Genomic DNA, 19,561 nt, shown 5'->3' on the forward strand with positions numbered 1-19,561 from the left:
TAAAGGGGTTGAGTTGAGTGTTTTCTCCAGCCAAGCCCAGCTGCACAGAGCAGGCACCGAGCAGGGTGACTCTTGGACTGAACCAGGGCTCTAGGCTTTCTAAGAGACTTCTACAAAACGAGAGAGGCGAAGGGTAGCCCAGTGTGTACATAAGGGAACGACATGACAATTGGCCTCAGAATCAAGGTTGTTAAGGAAAGGAGAGAAGCCAACAAGGGGATGCAGGGTAGTAAAGGGATGGGGGGGACCAGTCGGTAGAAGGTTAGGGATTGTGGGGAGCAAAGGACTGTTGTGGGAGCCAGAAGGAGTAAACATGTAGAAGAAACACAAAAGAAAGAATCTTAATGTTATGTTACTGAAAACCAGAACAGACCAGAGGGCAAAAGCCCTTCCACTCGATGTGCAAATCACGCTAGAAGAGAAGGGAATTTTTGAGATGGACCAAAAACAATTTCCTTATCCATTACTTCCTATATTGAAAATGCCATTTACTTCCAAAGCTATCTTATTTATTCAAGTTTGCAGTACAACAGGAGGCCTAGATTATTTCCCAGGTAAATTTCTAACTGTCCTGTTTCAGAGGTATTCCCCTGAGATTCATAGTACATTTTCACTTTAAGTTACATGTTATAAATGTACATGATTTTCTCCAAACCAATGACTGTGTTCTTTAACCCTCCTCCCTAAATCCTTTTTTTAAATCTTTATTTTCATCCTCTTATTCTTCCCTATCACTAATCTCTCTTGAAATTAAAATATAATGATAAACCAGAATTTGACATAAGACCCTCACCAATGCCAAGAATAGCAAGAGGATTATCTTGCCGTTCTTGTACATTATTTACTTTCCCAGTGTCATGTCAGTATTGGGTTTAGTGTTTTTCAGGAAGTAGACGCCCACCTTCTAATTGAGTCAGAGCCAAGAGTAGGACATGGTCTCACTGAGCCATCTTGCACCTGGAGATATCTCCTGGGGAGAGATGCAAAAATAAACAGCAGCACCAGGGAACTAGACCTCATTATATTTTTATTAGCACAGTAACTCTTTTAAACAAGCAATATCCTAAATTGGATAATTACCTCCCACATTGCTTTCCCCTTGACTTTGGAACTAAACACAGGCTCTTTCTCAATTAGCATTCTGAGCTTTGAGTCAAGTTCCTTATGTGCAGTTACCCAGCTGCTGCACAACTACTCAGATGTTGCATGAAGCCCTTCCTAAATATAGCTTTTTAAACACATTCAGGATCCTTCAGGAAAAAATAAATTAGTATAAGCTTTCACTGGCAAGAATCAAAATCCACCCCTTAGAACTTATTTTTAAAAACCAATTATAAATAAGTCAAATAAGCAAAATTTTATTAAGACTAGATTTCAAGCTGCCAACCTGGCCAAGGTAAAAAGATAATCAGGTAATAAAATCTGATCCAAGTTCATTATGTAGCATCCTTATCCAGGAATATCTTATTACCGAGTAAACGTAATTTGGTAATAAAATGTTAAGCATGAAATAAGGTACATTGGGGAAAAAATCTGCTCGTGTTTTGCATTTAAATATTTCAGTATTTAAATGGAAACCAAAAAAAGCAGAAATATTCTGAAGCAAAAACAGAACTGGAATTTCCATTTCCCATCCACATCATAAATGAGATCATTCCACAGCAATGACTCCTTGCACATCACTTGGAAATGAGCGCACTCAGACAGAACCTGTGGTCTGGGCCCAAGGCACTGAAAACCCATACTGGCTTCTGAAGGATTCATTACACACATGCACACATACACACAGAAGGTGGATTTTCAGCTCTACCAGAAGTCGTATAACCTATGGCTAAGTCTCTATAAAATTTATGAATAAACAACTAAAGTAGCTTCAGGCAAAAGTGGCAGAAACCATTGCTGTTTGTATACCACTTTGGAAATAAATTTCATTCACTGGGAAAGTTAACATGTGATGCTTTGACAACATCAGAAATAATACTTAATAACTTAGAAATCTTCTGGCATACAGTCCAATATCCCCAAAAGAATTAACATCCGAGTCCATTTCTTCAAATCTGAATTCAGAGGGCCCTCAAGCTGCCCATATGACTTCTGTCCAAGCATGGAACTCACATTTGTGCAGTCATATCTGAACAAGTCACCAACCTGGCATGGCTGTTCTTCATTGGCCTGTCACTTACAAGAGATGTGTTATCAAAGACTGTCAAACTACTTCCCACCTTCAGGACAGAGTGCCAGCTTGCAGAGGAATTAGCAGATGGGGAGATGGGTTAGGGTACAGAGGTAGATGGCACTGCTGCGCAAATAGAAATATCAGAGGGAACTCACAGCAGATAAACAAAGGAGAAAAAAAGCCAGACTAATCCTTTCAGCAGTCAATAAGAAGCATGGTTTGCCCTGACGACTGAGCCCTGTGGGAGGTGAGTGTTCACACAGTAGAAGCAGCCTACTCCTGTCTAGCACCACCTGCGCTGTCTGCCCCATGGTCAATGGTGCCTGTAAGAGAGGATGTAGTCCTGGGCCTCCTCGTAGTGACCAACTCCAGTCCACTGCCCTTGGCACAGCTAAAGCTACACACATCCTATGGCTTGTTCGCTGACTCCCAAACTCATCTGAAGTTTGAAAGAAAAGAAATATTGCCACAATATTTACACAACCCAGTGATTGTTTCCTCCAGAATAACATTTTTAAAAAGATATTCCAGATAACCTATGGAGATGAGTCTGAGGAAGATTAAAGAAATAGAGGCTGGACAGGGTGGGGAACATCACACCGGCGCCTGTTGTGGGGTGGGGGACTGGGGGAGGGATAGCATTAGGAGATATACCTAATGTAAATGACAAGTTGATGGATGCAGCACACCAACATGACGTATGTATACATATGTAACAAACCTGCACGTCGTGCACATGTACCCTAGAACTTAAAGTATAATTTAAAAAAAAAAAAAGAGAGAAATAGAGGTTGGGCGCGGTGGCTCACACCTGTAATCCCAGCAGTTTGGGAGGCCGAGGAGGGCAGATCACCTGAGGTTGGGAGTTTGGGACCAGCCTGACCAACATGGAGAAACCCCATCTATACTAAAAATACAAAATTAGCTGGGTGTGGTGGCGCATGCCTGTAATCCCAACTACTCAGGAGGCTGAGGCAGGAGAATCCCTTGAACTCGGGAGGCGGAGGTTGCAGTGAGCCAAGATTGCGCCATTGCACTCCAGCCTGGGCAACAAGAGCGAAACTCCATCTCAAAAAAAAAAGGAAGAAAAAACCATTATACCTCTTAAGCTGAGGGAAGGGAAGAAGAAATAGAAAGGGAGAGAAGTTGTTAAGAGGGAAAAAGTAAATTAAATGAAAGGAATGGTAGGTAACTTTGGAAATTATTTCTTCAAATTCTTAGGTTTCTTTCTAGCATTTCCTGTCAGCTGTCTGGCTCTCTATCAGGGAAAAGGAAAACCTCCTAATTCTATTCTCGTGGGAATTTGAATTGTAAGTAGGAGAAATAACAATGGCCCACAGGCCAAAGAAGGAAATGGTAAAATTCCTAAATGACTACAGTTGAAAGATCAAGAACAGTGTAAAATATTTGTGTTTTTCCAGTTTTCTGTGTGCTGATGCACAAGATGCATCTCTGCACCATGAAGTATTCCTGATGAATTGATATGAAGTAGCACCACGCCACTCTGGCAACATTACATATCTATTAAGTGCTATTGCTAAACCATAAACACTGCACATGCAGTAGCGTTTGGGAGTTTAGAGCTTGGTTCTCCTGCCAGCCAGACTGCACTTAAACACAAGCTCTTCTCTCTCCACATCACCCTGGAAAGTGATTTAAACACTGTGAGCCTCAGTTTCCTCATCTAGGAAATAGAAATAATAACAGTACTTTCTTCAAAAAGTTGTGTGGATTAGCTAAAGTAGTATATTTAAAGTATCTGGAATAGCACCTGGTATGAAGCACACAATATATGCTAGCTATTATTATCACTATCATTATACCAGTAATAGCTATGTTACTTTCAGGTGTAAATAGGAATTTTTTATACTTTAAAATAGATTTTCTTAAGTTCAATGGGAAATTAATCATCCAGATAAATATATGACATAGAAAATTATCACGAAAATAATCAGATATTTTACTTTCCTTTTTATTCCACAATTCAAATATATACATTCTATATTGGTCAATTATGTATGTATTTATTATAAAAATATAACAAAGTAGATAGTATATTTGTATGATTTAATTATATGTATAGTTTTGATTTTATATTGTGAGCCTATAGATCCTAGTGGAGTTGACTGAAAAGGAGACATGTAAATTGGCTGAGAAATGGCAATAAACAGACAGTTGCAGAGCTGAGGTTAAGAATAGCTCCATTTGGCCAGGCACGGTGGCTTATGCCTATAATCTCAGCACTTTGGGAGGTCGAGGCAGGTGGATCACCTAAGGTCAGGAGTTTGAGAACAACCTGGACAACATGGTGAAACCTCGTCTCTACTAAAAAAAAAAAAAAAAAAAAATTAGCTGGGCATGGTGGCACATGCCTGTAATCCCAGCTACTCGGGAGAGTGAGACTCCATCTCCAAAAAAAAAAAAAAAAAAAAAAAAAAAGAATAGCTCCAGCTTTTTGCCATTCTATTTAAAAAAAGGAACAAAACAAAGTTAGTGGGATCTGTTATTTTGCCTGGCAAGCATTAGACAATTACATGGGTGAATGAATGAGTGAATGAATGAATAAAATTAGTTGTCCCAGTTTGTTTTCAGGCTTTCCTACTGATATTATTTCCCTCCATTCCATTCTTTAATTTTCCTTCTCAAATATCGGCTTACATATTATCTTAAGGAAACTAACACAGGAACAGAAAATCAAATACTGCATGTTCTCACTTATAAGTGGGAGCTAAATATTGAGCACACATGGACACAAAGAAGGGAGCAACAGACACCAGGGCATACTTGAGGGTGGAGGTGGGGAGGAGGGAGAAGATCAAAAAACTACCTCTCAGGTACTACACACTTACTACCTGGATGACAAAATAATCTGTACACCAAACCCCCGTGACATGCAATTTACCTGTATAATGAACCTGCATATGTATGCCTGAACCTAAAATAAAAGTTTTTAAAAAGGTTCACATGTGAAAAGCAAAAGCTTTTGAATTGATCACAAAACAAATAATATAAGAAAAAATATATGTTCACTTGTTTCATAAAATAACCCTCGCTTTCCTCAAACTCTTATTTTTTCCATCCCATCCAATATGCTTGGCATAATTCTCTCCCATGCCTCTTTTTTCCCCAATGATTACCTCAATTCTCTCACAAAACTTAAGTTTAAAGTGTTTTCCTACCTACCATAATCATAATCAGTACACAATTCCCACCCTGGAATAAAGGATGAAATAAATGTGAGAAAACATCATGCAGTGATCACTCTGTTCATCTGTTTTCTTAGGATTTAGGCTCCAGCAGCTCTGAGACCAGGTCTTCTGAAATTGTGAATGCTCAATAAACATGATTTGGAACAGTCTTGCTTTGAGGACTACAGCGCTCTGTGTGACTATCCTTACTCCAGGTTACCACTGCCTGGATGAGGCTTACTCCTCTTTATATTTCCACTTGTTTCTGTTTTTCTGTTTTCTTACAGACTACAGTCAGGGCCAGAAATATCCTCAGTCTACCCTTTACTCAGCTAAGGGTGTCTCCTCCCTTCTTCATTTTGCTTGCTATTAAACAGAGCTTTTTATAGTGCCCAGAGGGTGTCAGCCTTCTCAGATGAATTACTTTTCCTGAAAAAGAAAAAAGAGGAAATAAAATAATAAAATGATTCATGATCTTGACCCTTGGGACTGGAAAGTAATGTCTCACTGAGTGAAAAGGCAGCACAAAACTCTAGAGAAACTGCAGTTTATATTTCAGTTCATACCTGTTAACTTTCCAGCAGTTGGTGGAAATTATTGCAAAGGAACAAGAAAGAATTTGGCCATGGTGTATGGAAATAACAATAAAAAACTATAAATAAAAACGTAAGGAAAGCAATCATTGCTAGTCCAGCTACTGTTAGCATTCAGTTATTGGTTCATTTATTCATTCAGGATATAATAATCTCTCAGAAAAGTTTATTCCAAAACATCACTCCTAATAACTCCCTTGTCATCTTATTTATGTGAAGTGGACTTATTAATCCTAGCACTAAAAGACAAAAATGTGAAAGTAAAAATAGAGTAAACCAGAGTGTAAGAACGAGGTCAAATTATTTTACCAATTTGAATATAAAAATTATTCAAGATTGGTCAGGGGCTGTGGCTCATGCCTGTAATCCCAGCACTTTGGGAGGCTGAGGTGGGTGGATCGTTTGCAGTTCCTAGGATGGGAGTTCGAGACCAGCCTGAGCAACATGGCAAACCCCATCTCCACTAAAAATACAAAAATTATCCGGGCGTGGTGGCACGTGCCTGTAGTCCCAGCTATGGGACGCTGAGGCATGAGAATCACTGGAACCCAGGAGGTGGGTGTTGCAGTGAGCAGAGATTGCACCACTGCACTCCAGCCTTGGCGACAGAATAAGACTCTGTCTCAAAAATAAATAATTTTTAAATATATATATATATATATATATGTTAAAGATTAATTGAATAAGAAATGGGAAAAATTGAAAAGACTAAGTCGAGTCACTCCTTTTTTTTAATTTTAAGTATGTCACACTATTTCAATTAAAAAATTGTACTTATTTTAAATATAGCTTACCTTTATATTGTATGTTTAGAATTTTACCCCTTTGTTCATTTACAAATAAACATTTATTAAATATCCACTCTGGACTAGGCAATGAAGTAAATAAAACAATTTCTCACCGCAATGAGCTCATATTTTAGAAGAGAAACAAGTAAACAAAAATATAATAAAATATGTAAAGCATAATAATAAAGACTTCACAAGATCAGAGATGGCTCAACAAAGGATAGGATAACTCTCAGGGGAGTTAATGGACAAAAATGAATAGAACGTATCAGTCAGCCTTGGTAGTGAAGAAAATTCTGGGAAGGAAATGAACCATATGCATAAAGCCATGGACACATGAGCTAACATGAAGTATCCTAAGAACTGCAAGCCATGTGAAATAGTTGGAGCATGTGGGAAGGAGGTAGATGATGAGGTTGCAGAGCATGCCAGGGCCATGGTCACAAACAGTTCAAATGCACTGTTAGGAAACAGCCAGCTCCATGGGCATGGGACTTATGCAACTGCACAGGGCCCCACATTTAGAAGCACTCTATACTTAGTTTACTGCTCTGCTATTACTATCTTGAAGGTTTTACTTTTTGAACAAGAGGCCCTGCACTTTTATTTTGTACTGGGTCCCACAATCTATGGCCCTCCTCATGTTAAAGATTTTTATTTTATTTTATTTTATTTTATTTTATTTTATTTTATTTATTTTATTTTATTTTATTTTATTTTAATTTTTTTTTGAGACAGAGTCTTACTCTGTCACCCAGGCTGAAGTGCAGTGGTGCGATCTCTGGTGGAGATCGCTGCAACCTCCACCTCCCAGGTTCAAGCGATTCCTATGCCTCACCCTCCCAAGTAGCTGGGACTACAGGTGTGTGCCAGCATACCTGGATAATTTTTGTATTTTTAGTAGAGATGGGGTTTTGCTGTGTTATTCAGGCTGGTCTTGAACTCCTGACCTCAAGTGATCCACTTGCCTTGGCCTCCCAAAGTGCTGGGATTACAGGCATGAGCCACCATGCCCAGCCAAAGATTTTAAATAGTAAGTATTTCCGGAAAAAAAAATGAACAACAAAACCTAATCCTCCTTAGACTATTTGTGACTGTTTGACTTTAACCAGTGTCAATCACTACAGATGAATGCCAATGATTCTCTAAAGAAGGAAGATAAATTTCTAAAAGACTGCTCCTGACCAAACTAATTGAGGAAACCAGCTAGTTGAGTGTGTTTCTTGGCCTTCATGCTGATTCTTGCTCACACTCAGGTTTGAAAATATCCTCCAGTTCAGTACTCTACAAACTTCTAAATATTTTCTGGGATTATCTTTATAAAAACACATCTGTTAAAGAGCACACATAAAATCATTCAGCATTCCATTTGAGAATAAAACATACATTTTGTTCTCAGCCTCCTAACTCAACCCACTTTCCACTTTCCACTTAGAATCTTAAGCAACAACACATAAAGTTATAGATGAACTTTTGTTTACAATGTTGTACAATGGTTTACATTATTGTTTATCTATGGAACAACAAGTTGTGAACTTGCTGAAACTATTCAAAATTCATTTACCTTCTCCTATTTTAACAATGAAAGTCCTCAGTCCAAGAAACAATGCTTAATTCACCCCAGATGTCATTTTAAAATGACTACAAAACACTGCTGAAAGAAATCAGAGGTGACACAAATGGAAAAACATTCCATGTTCATGGGTTGGAAGAATCAATACCATAAAAATGGCCCTACTACCCAAAGCAACTTACAGATTCAGTGCTATTCCTATCAAACTACCAACGTCATTCTTCACAGAATTAGAAAAATCTATTCTAAAATTCATATGGAACCAAAAAAGAGCCTAAATAACGAAAGCAATCCTAAACAAAACAAAAAAAAAAACAAAGCCAGAGGCATCACACTACTCAACTTCAAACTATACTATAAAGCCACAGCAACCAAACCAGCATGGTACTGGTACAAAAACAGACACAGAAACCAATGGAACTGAATAGAAAACTCAGAAATAAAGCTGCACACCTAAAACCATCTGATCTTTGATAAGGCAGACAAAAACAAGCAATGGGGAAAGGACTCCCTATTCAGTAAATGGTGCTAAAATAACTGACTAGTCATATGCAGAAAATGAAATTGGACTCCTACCTTCCACCACGTACAAAAATTAATTCAAAATGGATTGAAGATTTAAATGTAAGACCTCAAACTATAAAAATTCTGGAAGACAGCTGGGCACAGTGGCTCATGCCCGTAATCCCAGCACTTTGGGAGGCTGAGGTTGGTGGATTACCTGAGGTCAGGAGTTCAAGACCAGCCTGCCCAACAGGGCACAACCCCATCTCTACTAAAAATACAAAAAATTAGCCAGATGTGGTAGCAGGCTACCTAATCCTGGCTACTCGGAAGGCTGAGGCAGGAGAATCGCTTGAACCCGGGAGGTGGAGGTTGCAGTGAGCCAAGATCACACGCCACTGCACTCCAGCCTGGGTGACAAGAGTGAAATTCTACCTCAAAATAAAATAAAATTCTGGAAGACAACCTAGAAATAGTCTAGTTGACATAGCCTTGGCAAAGAATTTTTGGCTAAGTTCCCAAAAGCAATTGCAACAAAAACAAAAAATAGACAACTGCAGCCTAGTTAAACTAAAGAGGTTCTGCACAGCAAAAGAAACTATCAACAGAGTAAACAGACAATCTACAGAATGGAAGAAGATGTTCATAAACTCTGCATCTGACAAAAGCCTAATATCCAGAATCTACAGGGAACTTAAACAATTCAACAAACAAACAACAAATAACCCCATTTTAAAAATGGGCAAAGGACAACAGACACTTCTCAAAAGAAGACATACATACCAGTGGCCAACAAACATGAAAAAATGCTCAGCATCACTAATCAGAGAAATGCAAATCAAAACCACAGTGAGATACCATCTCACACTAGTCAGAATGGCTACTATTAAAAAATTAAAAAACAACAGATGCTGGCCAGGCTGCTGAGATAAGAGAACGCTTATACCTTGTAATGTATACACTTATACCTTGAAATGTAAATTAGTCCAGCCTGTGTGAAAAACACCTGGAGACTTTTCAAAGAACTTAAACAGAGCTACCCTGCAATCCCATTACTGGGTATATATCCAAAAGAAACAAATTGTTCTACAAAAATATACACACACTTGTATGTCCATCACTGCACTATTCACAATAGCAAAGACATGGACTCACCCAGGTGTCCATCAATGGTAGATGGGCTAAAGAAAATGTATATTTTCTTATATGCCATGGAATACTATACACTATGGAATATTAAGCAGCTGTTAAAAAGAATGAAATTATGTCCTTTGCAGAAACATGGATGGAGCAGAAGGCCAAAATCCTAAGCAAATTAATGCAAAAACAGAAAACCAAATACTGCATGTTCTCATTTATAAGTGGGAGCTAAGCAATGAGCACACATAGACATAAATATGGGAAAAATAGACACCAAACTACTAGACCCTACTAAAGGGTAGAGTGGGGAGAGTGGGTTAAGAAACTACCTATGGGGTACTATGCTCACCACCAGGGTGATGGGATTGGTATTCTAAACCTCAGCATCACACAATGTACCCAGGTAATAAACCTGCCCATATACCCCCTGTATCTAAAGTAAAAGTTAAAATTTTTTTTAAATGAATGAATCCATTCCCAATGTTTCCTTTTATTTGAAATATCACATTTATTCAACTCACCCTCTGATTCAGTAAAAATATATCATTTCTCTATATGTATTATTCTCAGCAATTTTTCCACCACAACCCTAGATCAACAAAGATGGTGTTTTAATTTTTCATTTTCTTTGGTTTTTAATTGAAATATAAAAGGTATAAAGTGCACAAATCTTAAGCATACATATTTATATCATGTATACACACATACACACACATATACACACGCTAATGTAATCACCAGGCAGATCAAGATAAAAATATTTCTAACACCCCAGAAAGATGTTTCTTATCCCTTCTGAGTCAATACTTCCCCAGAGTTAACCACTTCTTCTGACTTCTATTACCATAGAATAATCTTTCCTACTCTTGAACTTCATAAAAATGGAATTTGGATACATTTTATTCATTAATATGTCTGTGCAGTTTCTTCCTGTTGTTTATAGCAGTAGTTTATTCTTTTTGATTGCTGTATAATTTATTAATTTGTCCATTGTGCTGTTAATGGATATTTGTATTATTGAGCCCAGTTTTGAATACCCAGGCACTGTTCAAGACTATGCAGGTAAAAGGAGCATAAGGCAAGGTTCTTGATGCCAGGAACTTATAACCTAGATAAAGCATAATGAAAATACATATGAAAACCTGGCTACAACTTAACAGTCTACACACTATGCTATCTTCAGTATCTTGTGTCTTCAGCTCTGAGGCATGCATACATCTTGTCAAAAACATTCCAACATATCATTCCCTGTTGTCTTTCTTCCTTCAATCCACTCTCCACTTCACCTCTCCAATGCACATACACACATACACACATCTGAATATCAAATGTACTTTGAAATAATAACAGATTCTCTTCAGAAGAGAGTGCAATGTGTTCTTTAAAATTTACTCTGTGTCCCAGGTTTAGTGCGGTGCACTTTAAAAGCTATTGATTGTTAAATGCAGAATTATTGGTCAATCTTTCAAAAGACTACTTAATTTTCTGCTTTTAAAAGATAAAACATGCCATTTTGAATTAATATAGGAACTATACACAGAAATCAGCAGAAATCTAGTTGCTGTCAAGTTTATACACAAATGTCATAAAACAAATATTTTCTAAATACGTAATTTTCAATGTCTATAATTTAAACCACTCAGCATATGCAATGTGACCTAAAGTGGATTACTTAAGCTAAACTGTAACCTGAGTGTTATCCAGATTAAATGACATACTGGTGTTCTATTCAGGAAGCCCATACTCCAAAGTTTGTGCTAAGAGAGCTGTTCCTTTTTTCTTGATCAGTAACCAATGCTTTGCTAATTTGAATATGCAATATCAGAAATAGATGTCTCTAAGGGGTCTGTTAACTAATAAGTGGTCTATTAATAAGTTTATTATTAACATGAAGTAAGACTTTGACTCTCTTGATGGAACTTTTAAAATGTAAATTGACTAAAATTATTTTAGAGACATTCTCTACCTTTAAATTAACCAAATAAAGAACCCAAGTGTTGGCCGAGCATGGTGGCTTATGTCTATAATCCCAGCATTTTGGAAGGCCAAGATGGGAGGATCACTTGAGGCCAGCAGTTCAAGACCAGCCTGGTCAACATAGCAAGACCCCGTCTCTATTGTAATTTATTTTAATTTATAAAAAAAGAACCCAAGGAGGCCTGCACCCTGCACCTTTTATCCTTAGGGAAGAAACCCAAATACTCTTCTGTCAAGCTGTGAACTCTTGTTTCCTGATGAACCCATCAGAAACAAAAGACATGGAGACCACTAAGCAAACGTTTAATAAATAAGCAATCTATAAGGATAGCAATCCTGCCTCTGGAATCTGGGCACTAGTCTTGAGTGAACTCTCACTGAACCATAGTACCTTTTGAAGGATTGAGAACTGAGGTGGTCCTGAGCCTACAGAAAAGCCTGCATGAAGTGTTACTTGATACTTGGGCCCTTCTTCTTGACTTTAGCAATTCATTTAGAGAGCATGAGAGTATAATTTTATATGGTATAATGTAGTATAGTAAGGAATACTATTAATAATAGCTAGTACATACTTTAAAAGTATTCACCATGTGTCAGCACTGTCCTATGCCAGGATCAGCAAACTTTTTCTTTAAGATAATAAACATTTTAGGCTTTATGGACCAAAAGGCAAAATTGACGATATTATGTAAGTACTTATACAACCACTTCAAATGCAATCATTTAAAACATTTTATTTTAATTCTTAGTTCATGGATCACTAAAAAAAAAAAAAAAAAAAAAAAACAAAACAGGCTGCTGGATTGATTTGGCTCATGGGCCATAGTTTCTGTTCTCAGAACTTTACATATATTAACTCATTTAATCTTTTCATCCACCTATGAAGTAGGTACTATTGAATCCCTATTTTAGGAATAAGGAAATTGAAACAAAGAGAAATTTGGTTAATTCCTGATATCAGACAACTGTATCCTATTAGTATAAATAGTAGAGTCTAGTATACGGGAAATTGTTTTCTCTACGTGCATTTCCTTCTTTTGAAAGCCCATATATAATACTTTTTTTGTCCACAGTAAAAGACACATTGATTGGAATGTTCCTCTTGTTAGATAATCTCTCTTTCTGACCTCAAAATGCTAGGCCTCTTGGAATCATGCTGGGGGCTACAGTACATAAAGGTATGGGAAAGAAATCTAGCCTTTTCTTTATGCCCTTACCAACCTTTCATAAGCCTCCTTTAACTTCTTCATTTTATCAGCTAAGGTACAAAGAGCCAAGGTCAGACATTTGGTGACAATCAGGCAGAAGGAAAAGAGTAAAGAGGACCCTATTCTCTTTAGAGCTGGCATTTCCTCTGTAAAATAATAAAGCTTTTGTGAAGAGCCTCCCAATGCAAATAACAATACAACATTCATATTCCCAGATGGCACACTGCAGTCATTCATCTTTATGTAACCGGATGGATGATTAGTGTGGGTTAGCAATTGAAGCTAAATTATCTGTCAGTTTGTCTTTAGACCTTGCTGATAACATCAGCCCAATATTTGTAATAACTGATGACATGCACTTATGCATAGAAGAGAAGATTAAGCTTACTGTCTCTAAAAGGAAACGTCAAAGACAAAAAACACAAAGATGGCTTTGGGTCCCAAGCTTCTGGCATCAATGAAAGGCTCTTACTGGCCAACATTCTGAAAATGGTACATGCTTTTTCTGGCTAATGGCACAATGATTCTCAGATGGGTGTCATTTTCTCTGGCTCTTTAATCAGGAGCAAAATCAAGAGGAAATAGCTTTATTATGTGTAGCTTCAAATCAGACAGCCCTTCGCTAGGTAATCATCACTCTGGGAACATTTCAAAACATTACAGATTTGAACTTTCCAGTATTAGGAACATCCTTATTTGGCAAGTCCAGATAATAAGGGTCCTGGTCAAATTATGGACAGTATTCTGGGTATGATAGTGAGTTTCTCTATGAGGATTTCAAACTATAAAACATTCCAGTTCATTAATAACTAGTATGACTTGGAGGCGAGTGGATCACTTGAGCCCAGGAATTCAAGACCAGACTGGGCAACATGGCAAAATCCCGTCTCTACCAAGAAAAAAAAAGTTAATAAAAATAAAAACTAGTATGACTTGAATGTTTAGGACAAAAACAAAGCACAAGGTGCCATAGTACAGTACAAAACTCAATGACACTTTCTGTCTAAAGATATAATTAATACTAAAATTATACTAAAACAAGATATGCTTTAGGATTCAGCTGATCAGCAAGATTAGCAAAACAAATTGTTATATGGTAAATGTATGTGACTATTACTTAATAGAATCATATTAACCTGCTATGTTTTAGATCAGAAACAATCGAATCTTGGCAATTTCATACTTTCCAACCTACTATAAATTAACAGATTTCTAACGTCACGTATGGAATGGTTGTTGTGTTTTTCTTAAAATTAATTTGCTATGGGAAGCTTTCTTTATCTTGATACTTTGAAGTTAGAGCCTTAAGACCTGGAACTCCTAATATCTTACCTAGAAGAAGCCACGTTTGCTTTCCAAGTTACTTTTGTGATTTCCCTGGTGATCGGTGGCAGCTTGCTCTCTACGTTTGCAGCTTCTGCTTGCTGCTGAGTGATAGGAGATGAATGATGAGGAGGCACCGTGTGAGCTTTCTTGCTGAGCACCACTAGGAGCCACTGAGACTCCACAGCCATGTGGCCTCTGAAGAGCTAGGCTCTGTGACACACTTGGCAGACTGGAGCTCACTGGTGGGAAATACCAATCTCCATTGTTGCTGCCTGTGGAAATTGTACACTAAATGGCAAAATGGGAGTGTAGTACCCCTCCGTTATGCATGCAGATTCACTTAAACAAATTATACTTTAAATATAGCATCAATCGTATTATTAAATAACATATATGCTTCTTCCATTCTGGTAGATAATAAGAATTTAAGTGAGGTTTTTAAAGCACACAAAACAAAAGTTATTTTAACCAAGCACAGAAAGGTAAATACCATATTATCTCAGTTTTATGTGGAATCTAAAAAAGTTGAACTTATAGAAGCAGAGAGTAGAACGGTGATTTCTAGGGGCTGGGGGAAGGGAGGAGCAGGATTGGGAATATGTTGGTCAAAGGGTCAAGGGATAAAAAATTTAAATTAGTTAAGGAGGAATAAGTTCAAGAAATTTATATGGTACTACACATAGTCAATGACAATGTGTAGTAGACTTTAAAATTGCCGAGAGTAGATTTTAAGTGTTCTTACTACACGAAAAAGTGTGTGCAGTAATGCATATGTTAATGAGTTTTAGTCATTCTACAATGCATACATATTTCAAACCATGATACTGTTAACCATAAATACACATAATTTTTATTTGTCAATTACAAAATAAAAATTTTGAAGTTATTTTAAGACCCTTTAACAAATTTTATTAAATGCCTACTCTGTCCCAGACTCCGCCAGTCCCTTTCTCATATGTCATCTCTTTCTTTCTACAACTCATCGACAACAGGGTAAGGGTTAGAACCCAAGTTTTTGAACCAAACATGGGATACCAAAGTGCCACACTGGCTTTGTGACCTTAATTGGAAATCTTTCTCAGGGCTGTTTGGTAGGCATTATGCAATATGTTTTGAACCAATTTGCTAAAACCGAGAACCAGAACAGTTTGCTTTTAATTTCTTTCAGAGACATTGTGTGGAATTAAAAGTTCCTGCATTGAACACAATGAGACTTTTCACTTTGGCAGTGAGTATACACAACCTCAATAGGGGCTGTCCACAGTGACTATTTTCTTTAGAAGGAGAAACAAGCCAAAGTTAATGATAACTCCCTCCTAAACAGAACTAAACTGAACCACCCAGCTTAACTTCCCTAGGGAGAACCTGCGTCATATTGAACACAAATATTTACCTAGATGGACTTGAAAAGGAACCCAAGACTCCTTCCGGGTGTGGATTACCAACCTACATAAAAGAGCTGGGCACTCACAATGCAGCCATAATGACCAGGCTGAAGACTAGTCACTGAAATGGCAATTCAATGTTCTGATGTGGCACTAAGTTATAGTTTATATAAATATTATGTAACTAAATAATAGAAAATAGGAAAAAAAATATATGTAGAAACAAGCCAGCAAGAATTTCACTAAACTTTTCAGTCCTTTATTATAGTACTGGGAATTATCTAGGAACTCAACTTTACTGGGTAAATTCCGCAAAGACATGTTTGCATCATCCCTGCCTTTATAATGAGAAGCAGTAATAGACATGATGTGTATACCACATAATGTAATTCCGTAATAAGTGTGCTACAGGGAAGACGAGGCTGGGTCACAGGCCTTGAAGAGCCTAACAATGGATGACCTGCCACTTCACAGAGCTGTGGGAGATCTGGCCCTGCCACAGCCTCCGGAGGCCATGGAACCCCTGACTAGTGCTCAAGTCTTGCTTATTAGGAAAGGTATACCTGCAGTGTCATCACAGACCCTGTAAGATGCTAAAAAATAAATTAAAACCACCTGCACCTCCTTAGAGTACAACTCCCGCAGGATTGGCTACCTAACTTGCAGGGCACAGTGAAAAATGAAAATGTGGGGATTCTTATTCAAAAAGAAAAAAAAAAGCCATTTTTTCTTTTTTTCTGAAGTCTTTTTCTCAACCTGTCATGGTGGGTTTTTTTTTGTTTTTTTTTTTTTTGCCATTTAATGTCCTGCTTCTTTGAGCACAGAGACACTCACTAGGCAAGTACAGATCTTCATAGGCGTGAAGTCCCCAACTCTCTCCAACCTCTCCAACTCAGCACATGGGGTTTGCACACCTGCCTCTGACTCTCCTCAAATCTGTACCCAGCCCACCGTGGTGGGGACATATGGGGACAGTGATCTCCAGGCAGAGGCAGGGGAATGAGCAGCTGAGAACCTGTCCCTGGGAGAAGCCTCATGACAAGAAGCAGGACCTTGTGTGAAGCAGGCTCCAAGACCTTCTACACCCTCTATGGTCCCATCAGACATCACTTATAAAACACAAATTTAAAGATAAAATTAAGAAAATCAAGATGGTGACTGCATTTCATAAAACCCAAGTGTAGAACGAGCACATAGCCCAGTACAACCACACAGGCCATGCCCAAGAAGACAGAATATCTGGCTAAACCCTGAAGGTTTCTCAGAGCACTTACTTGCTGAAGATTAGCTATTCTGTTTAGAAATTAATTGGTCACTGATGTTAGTCTAACTAAAAGGAGCAAAGGGACACTGTCCAAAAAAACTCCTAAAGCAAAAATGCCAGCCAATGTGCCCCAGAGCTACAAAGGTAGCTCTCCTAATTTTGAATTTACCAGTAAATAAAATGAGTTCAGGGATCTAAAATCTTAACCTTGGGTGCCGGAATTTGTAATGATCATTAGGATGAACTTTTAAGTAGAAAAACTCCGAGTTTCTTAGTTGAGAAGCTAAAGTCAAAGTAGTTAATGAAAGAAAACTAATGAGATAAACAGTACAGAAGCTACGAAATAATGGAAATTCAAACAGACAAATAGGGGTTATCTTATCAGCTGGGCCAAGAAACCAGAGGGTCAGAGAAGCAGCTCTGGATGCCTGGAAAATAAAATGTTAAGAATAAGAAAGAAAAATGCAAGCACCATAACAGCCTTGAATTCTGAGCTAGGAATGGGACAAAAATTCAGATAAGCTTAAAAAGAACAATCATGGGTCTTGCATTTTTAGAAATAGTTCACATGTCATCCTCAATGGATTATAAAGCTCAAAAATAACCCAGAACTCTTGACACTGAAACTACAGAACTGAGATATTAGTTTAAGTGTTTTAAGTTGGATATCATGCCTAATTGTCAAGACCACCTGCTGAGGTTTGGGTGCGGTTTGCCTACATCAGAACTCATGTTGAAATTTTATTCCCAGTGTGGTAGTGATGGGAGGTGGGGCCTAGCTAGGAGGTGTTTGGCTCCCAGCGGTGGATCCTTCATGGATAGATTAATGATCTTTTGAGAATGAGTTCTTCCTCTTGTGGGACTGAATTAATTACCAAGACAGCAAGTTGCTCCTCCCTGTGTTTGGTCCCTTTGCGCTCACCCTGCTCCACCTTCTGCTTTCTGCCATGAGTAGAAACAGCTGAGGCCCTCAACAGATGTGCTGCCCAATCTTGGATTTCCCAGCCTCTCCAGAATCTTGAGCCAAATAAACTTTTCTTAATAAATTACCCAGTCTCGGGTATTCTGTCATAGCAACACTGAATGGAATAAGACACCACCCTTCATTAACTTCATTTTGCATGTGGGAAGCCAGAGCTTAAAATGGGTACCTGGCCCAGAGTCTCATAAGTGGTACACAGAAACAGAGCCTAGTGTGACTCAATCAGCCTGCCTCTGTGTCTGCACTACTAGTCTCTACATTTCCTCATACTCACAGCACAGACTGCTTTGTATGGCCTTAAGAGGCACAAGAAGCATTTGTTAAGCCTTGTGTCCTGATTTTTGAATTGGCAATTGTAATCACTAAAACACAAGAACTTAAACAATGAAGCTAATGAAAAGCAGAGGATTCAAAGAAATTTTACTTCTCTTTTCTCTCTTCTTTCTACACTAACTATTCCTCTTAGCTTTTCTAAGCCCCCATGTCCTATTTGTAAAATAAAAATAATAAAGTTTTCCTCTTAATATTATTTTGGGGATTAAAGCAGATAATATATATAGATTGTTTAGCACAGCACTCAATAAAACTTACCATTATTAATACACAATTAGTTTTAATACCACTGTTAGTAGCGATTTGGGCATGGAAAAAATTTGTTGAATGTTCTTACTTTTAGCAAGACTAAAAGTAAGAAAAAGCAGAGCAGTATACTGAGGTGGGTCAAAGAAAATTACAAATTGTGGACTTAATGATAATTAAAACCTGCATTGTGCTATAAATATACAAAGAAGCAAGCCAGACACAGTGGCTCACGCCTATAATCCCAGTACTTTGGGAGGCGGAGGCAAATGGATTGCCTTGGCCCAGGAGTTCGAGACCAGCCTAGGTGACTTGGCAAAACCCTGTCTCCACAAAAAATACAAAAAAATTAGCCATGCATGGTGGGACATGCCTATAGTTCCAGCTACTTGAGCCCGGGAGGCAGAGGTTGCCGTGAGCCATGATCACACCACTGAACTCCAGCCTGGGTAAAGAGACCCTGTTTCAAATATATATGTAAAATAAAACATATGTATAAAGAAGCACACTGAATGTGTTTTATTATCTAGGCTATATTCTCCTGATTCTTTCTGGGGCTCCACTTATCCCATATAGGACGAATTTATTAGTCATACAGAAAGGAATCCAATGGAAGACCTATGTCTCAGTGTACTAGGATCCAAATGTTGCCAATTTATTACCTCTAAAATTTATTCATGAAAAATTTCACATCAATTGGTTTATTTTATATTTTACTGCTCACAATCTATAAATGGTTTAGGATTCATATTTTACTACTTCACAATCTATAAATGGTTTAGGATTCAGTTTCATCCTTTTTTTTTTTTTTTTTTGAGACAGTCTCATTCTGTCACCCAGGCTGGAGTGCAATGGCATGATCTCAGCTCACTGACACC

At 37.9% G+C, this 19,561-nt stretch overlaps 2 long non-coding RNA genes across 2 annotated transcripts in view; one reads left to right on the forward strand and one right to left on the reverse strand.

Annotated features, from left to right (window-relative positions):
• Nucleotides 1-19,561, reverse strand: part of LINC02542 (long intergenic non-protein coding RNA 2542) — a 257,985-nt gene that overhangs the window by 227,495 nt on the left and 10,929 nt on the right. Inside the window, exon 2 of the long non-coding RNA NR_149135.1 lies at nucleotides 902-970. This is a non-coding gene — a long non-coding RNA (long intergenic non-protein coding RNA 2542). The remainder of the gene's footprint in view (nucleotides 1-901; nucleotides 971-19,561) is intronic.
• LOC107986617 (uncharacterized) overlaps nucleotides 1-19,561 on the forward strand; it is a 97,872-nt gene that overhangs the window by 53,672 nt on the left and 24,639 nt on the right. The window lies entirely within an intron of this gene.

The sequence above is a fragment of the Homo sapiens genome, chromosome 6 (genome assembly GCF_000001405.40).
Source record: "Homo sapiens chromosome 6, GRCh38.p14 Primary Assembly".
Classification (NCBI taxonomy): Eukaryota; Metazoa; Chordata; class Mammalia; order Primates; family Hominidae; genus Homo; species Homo sapiens.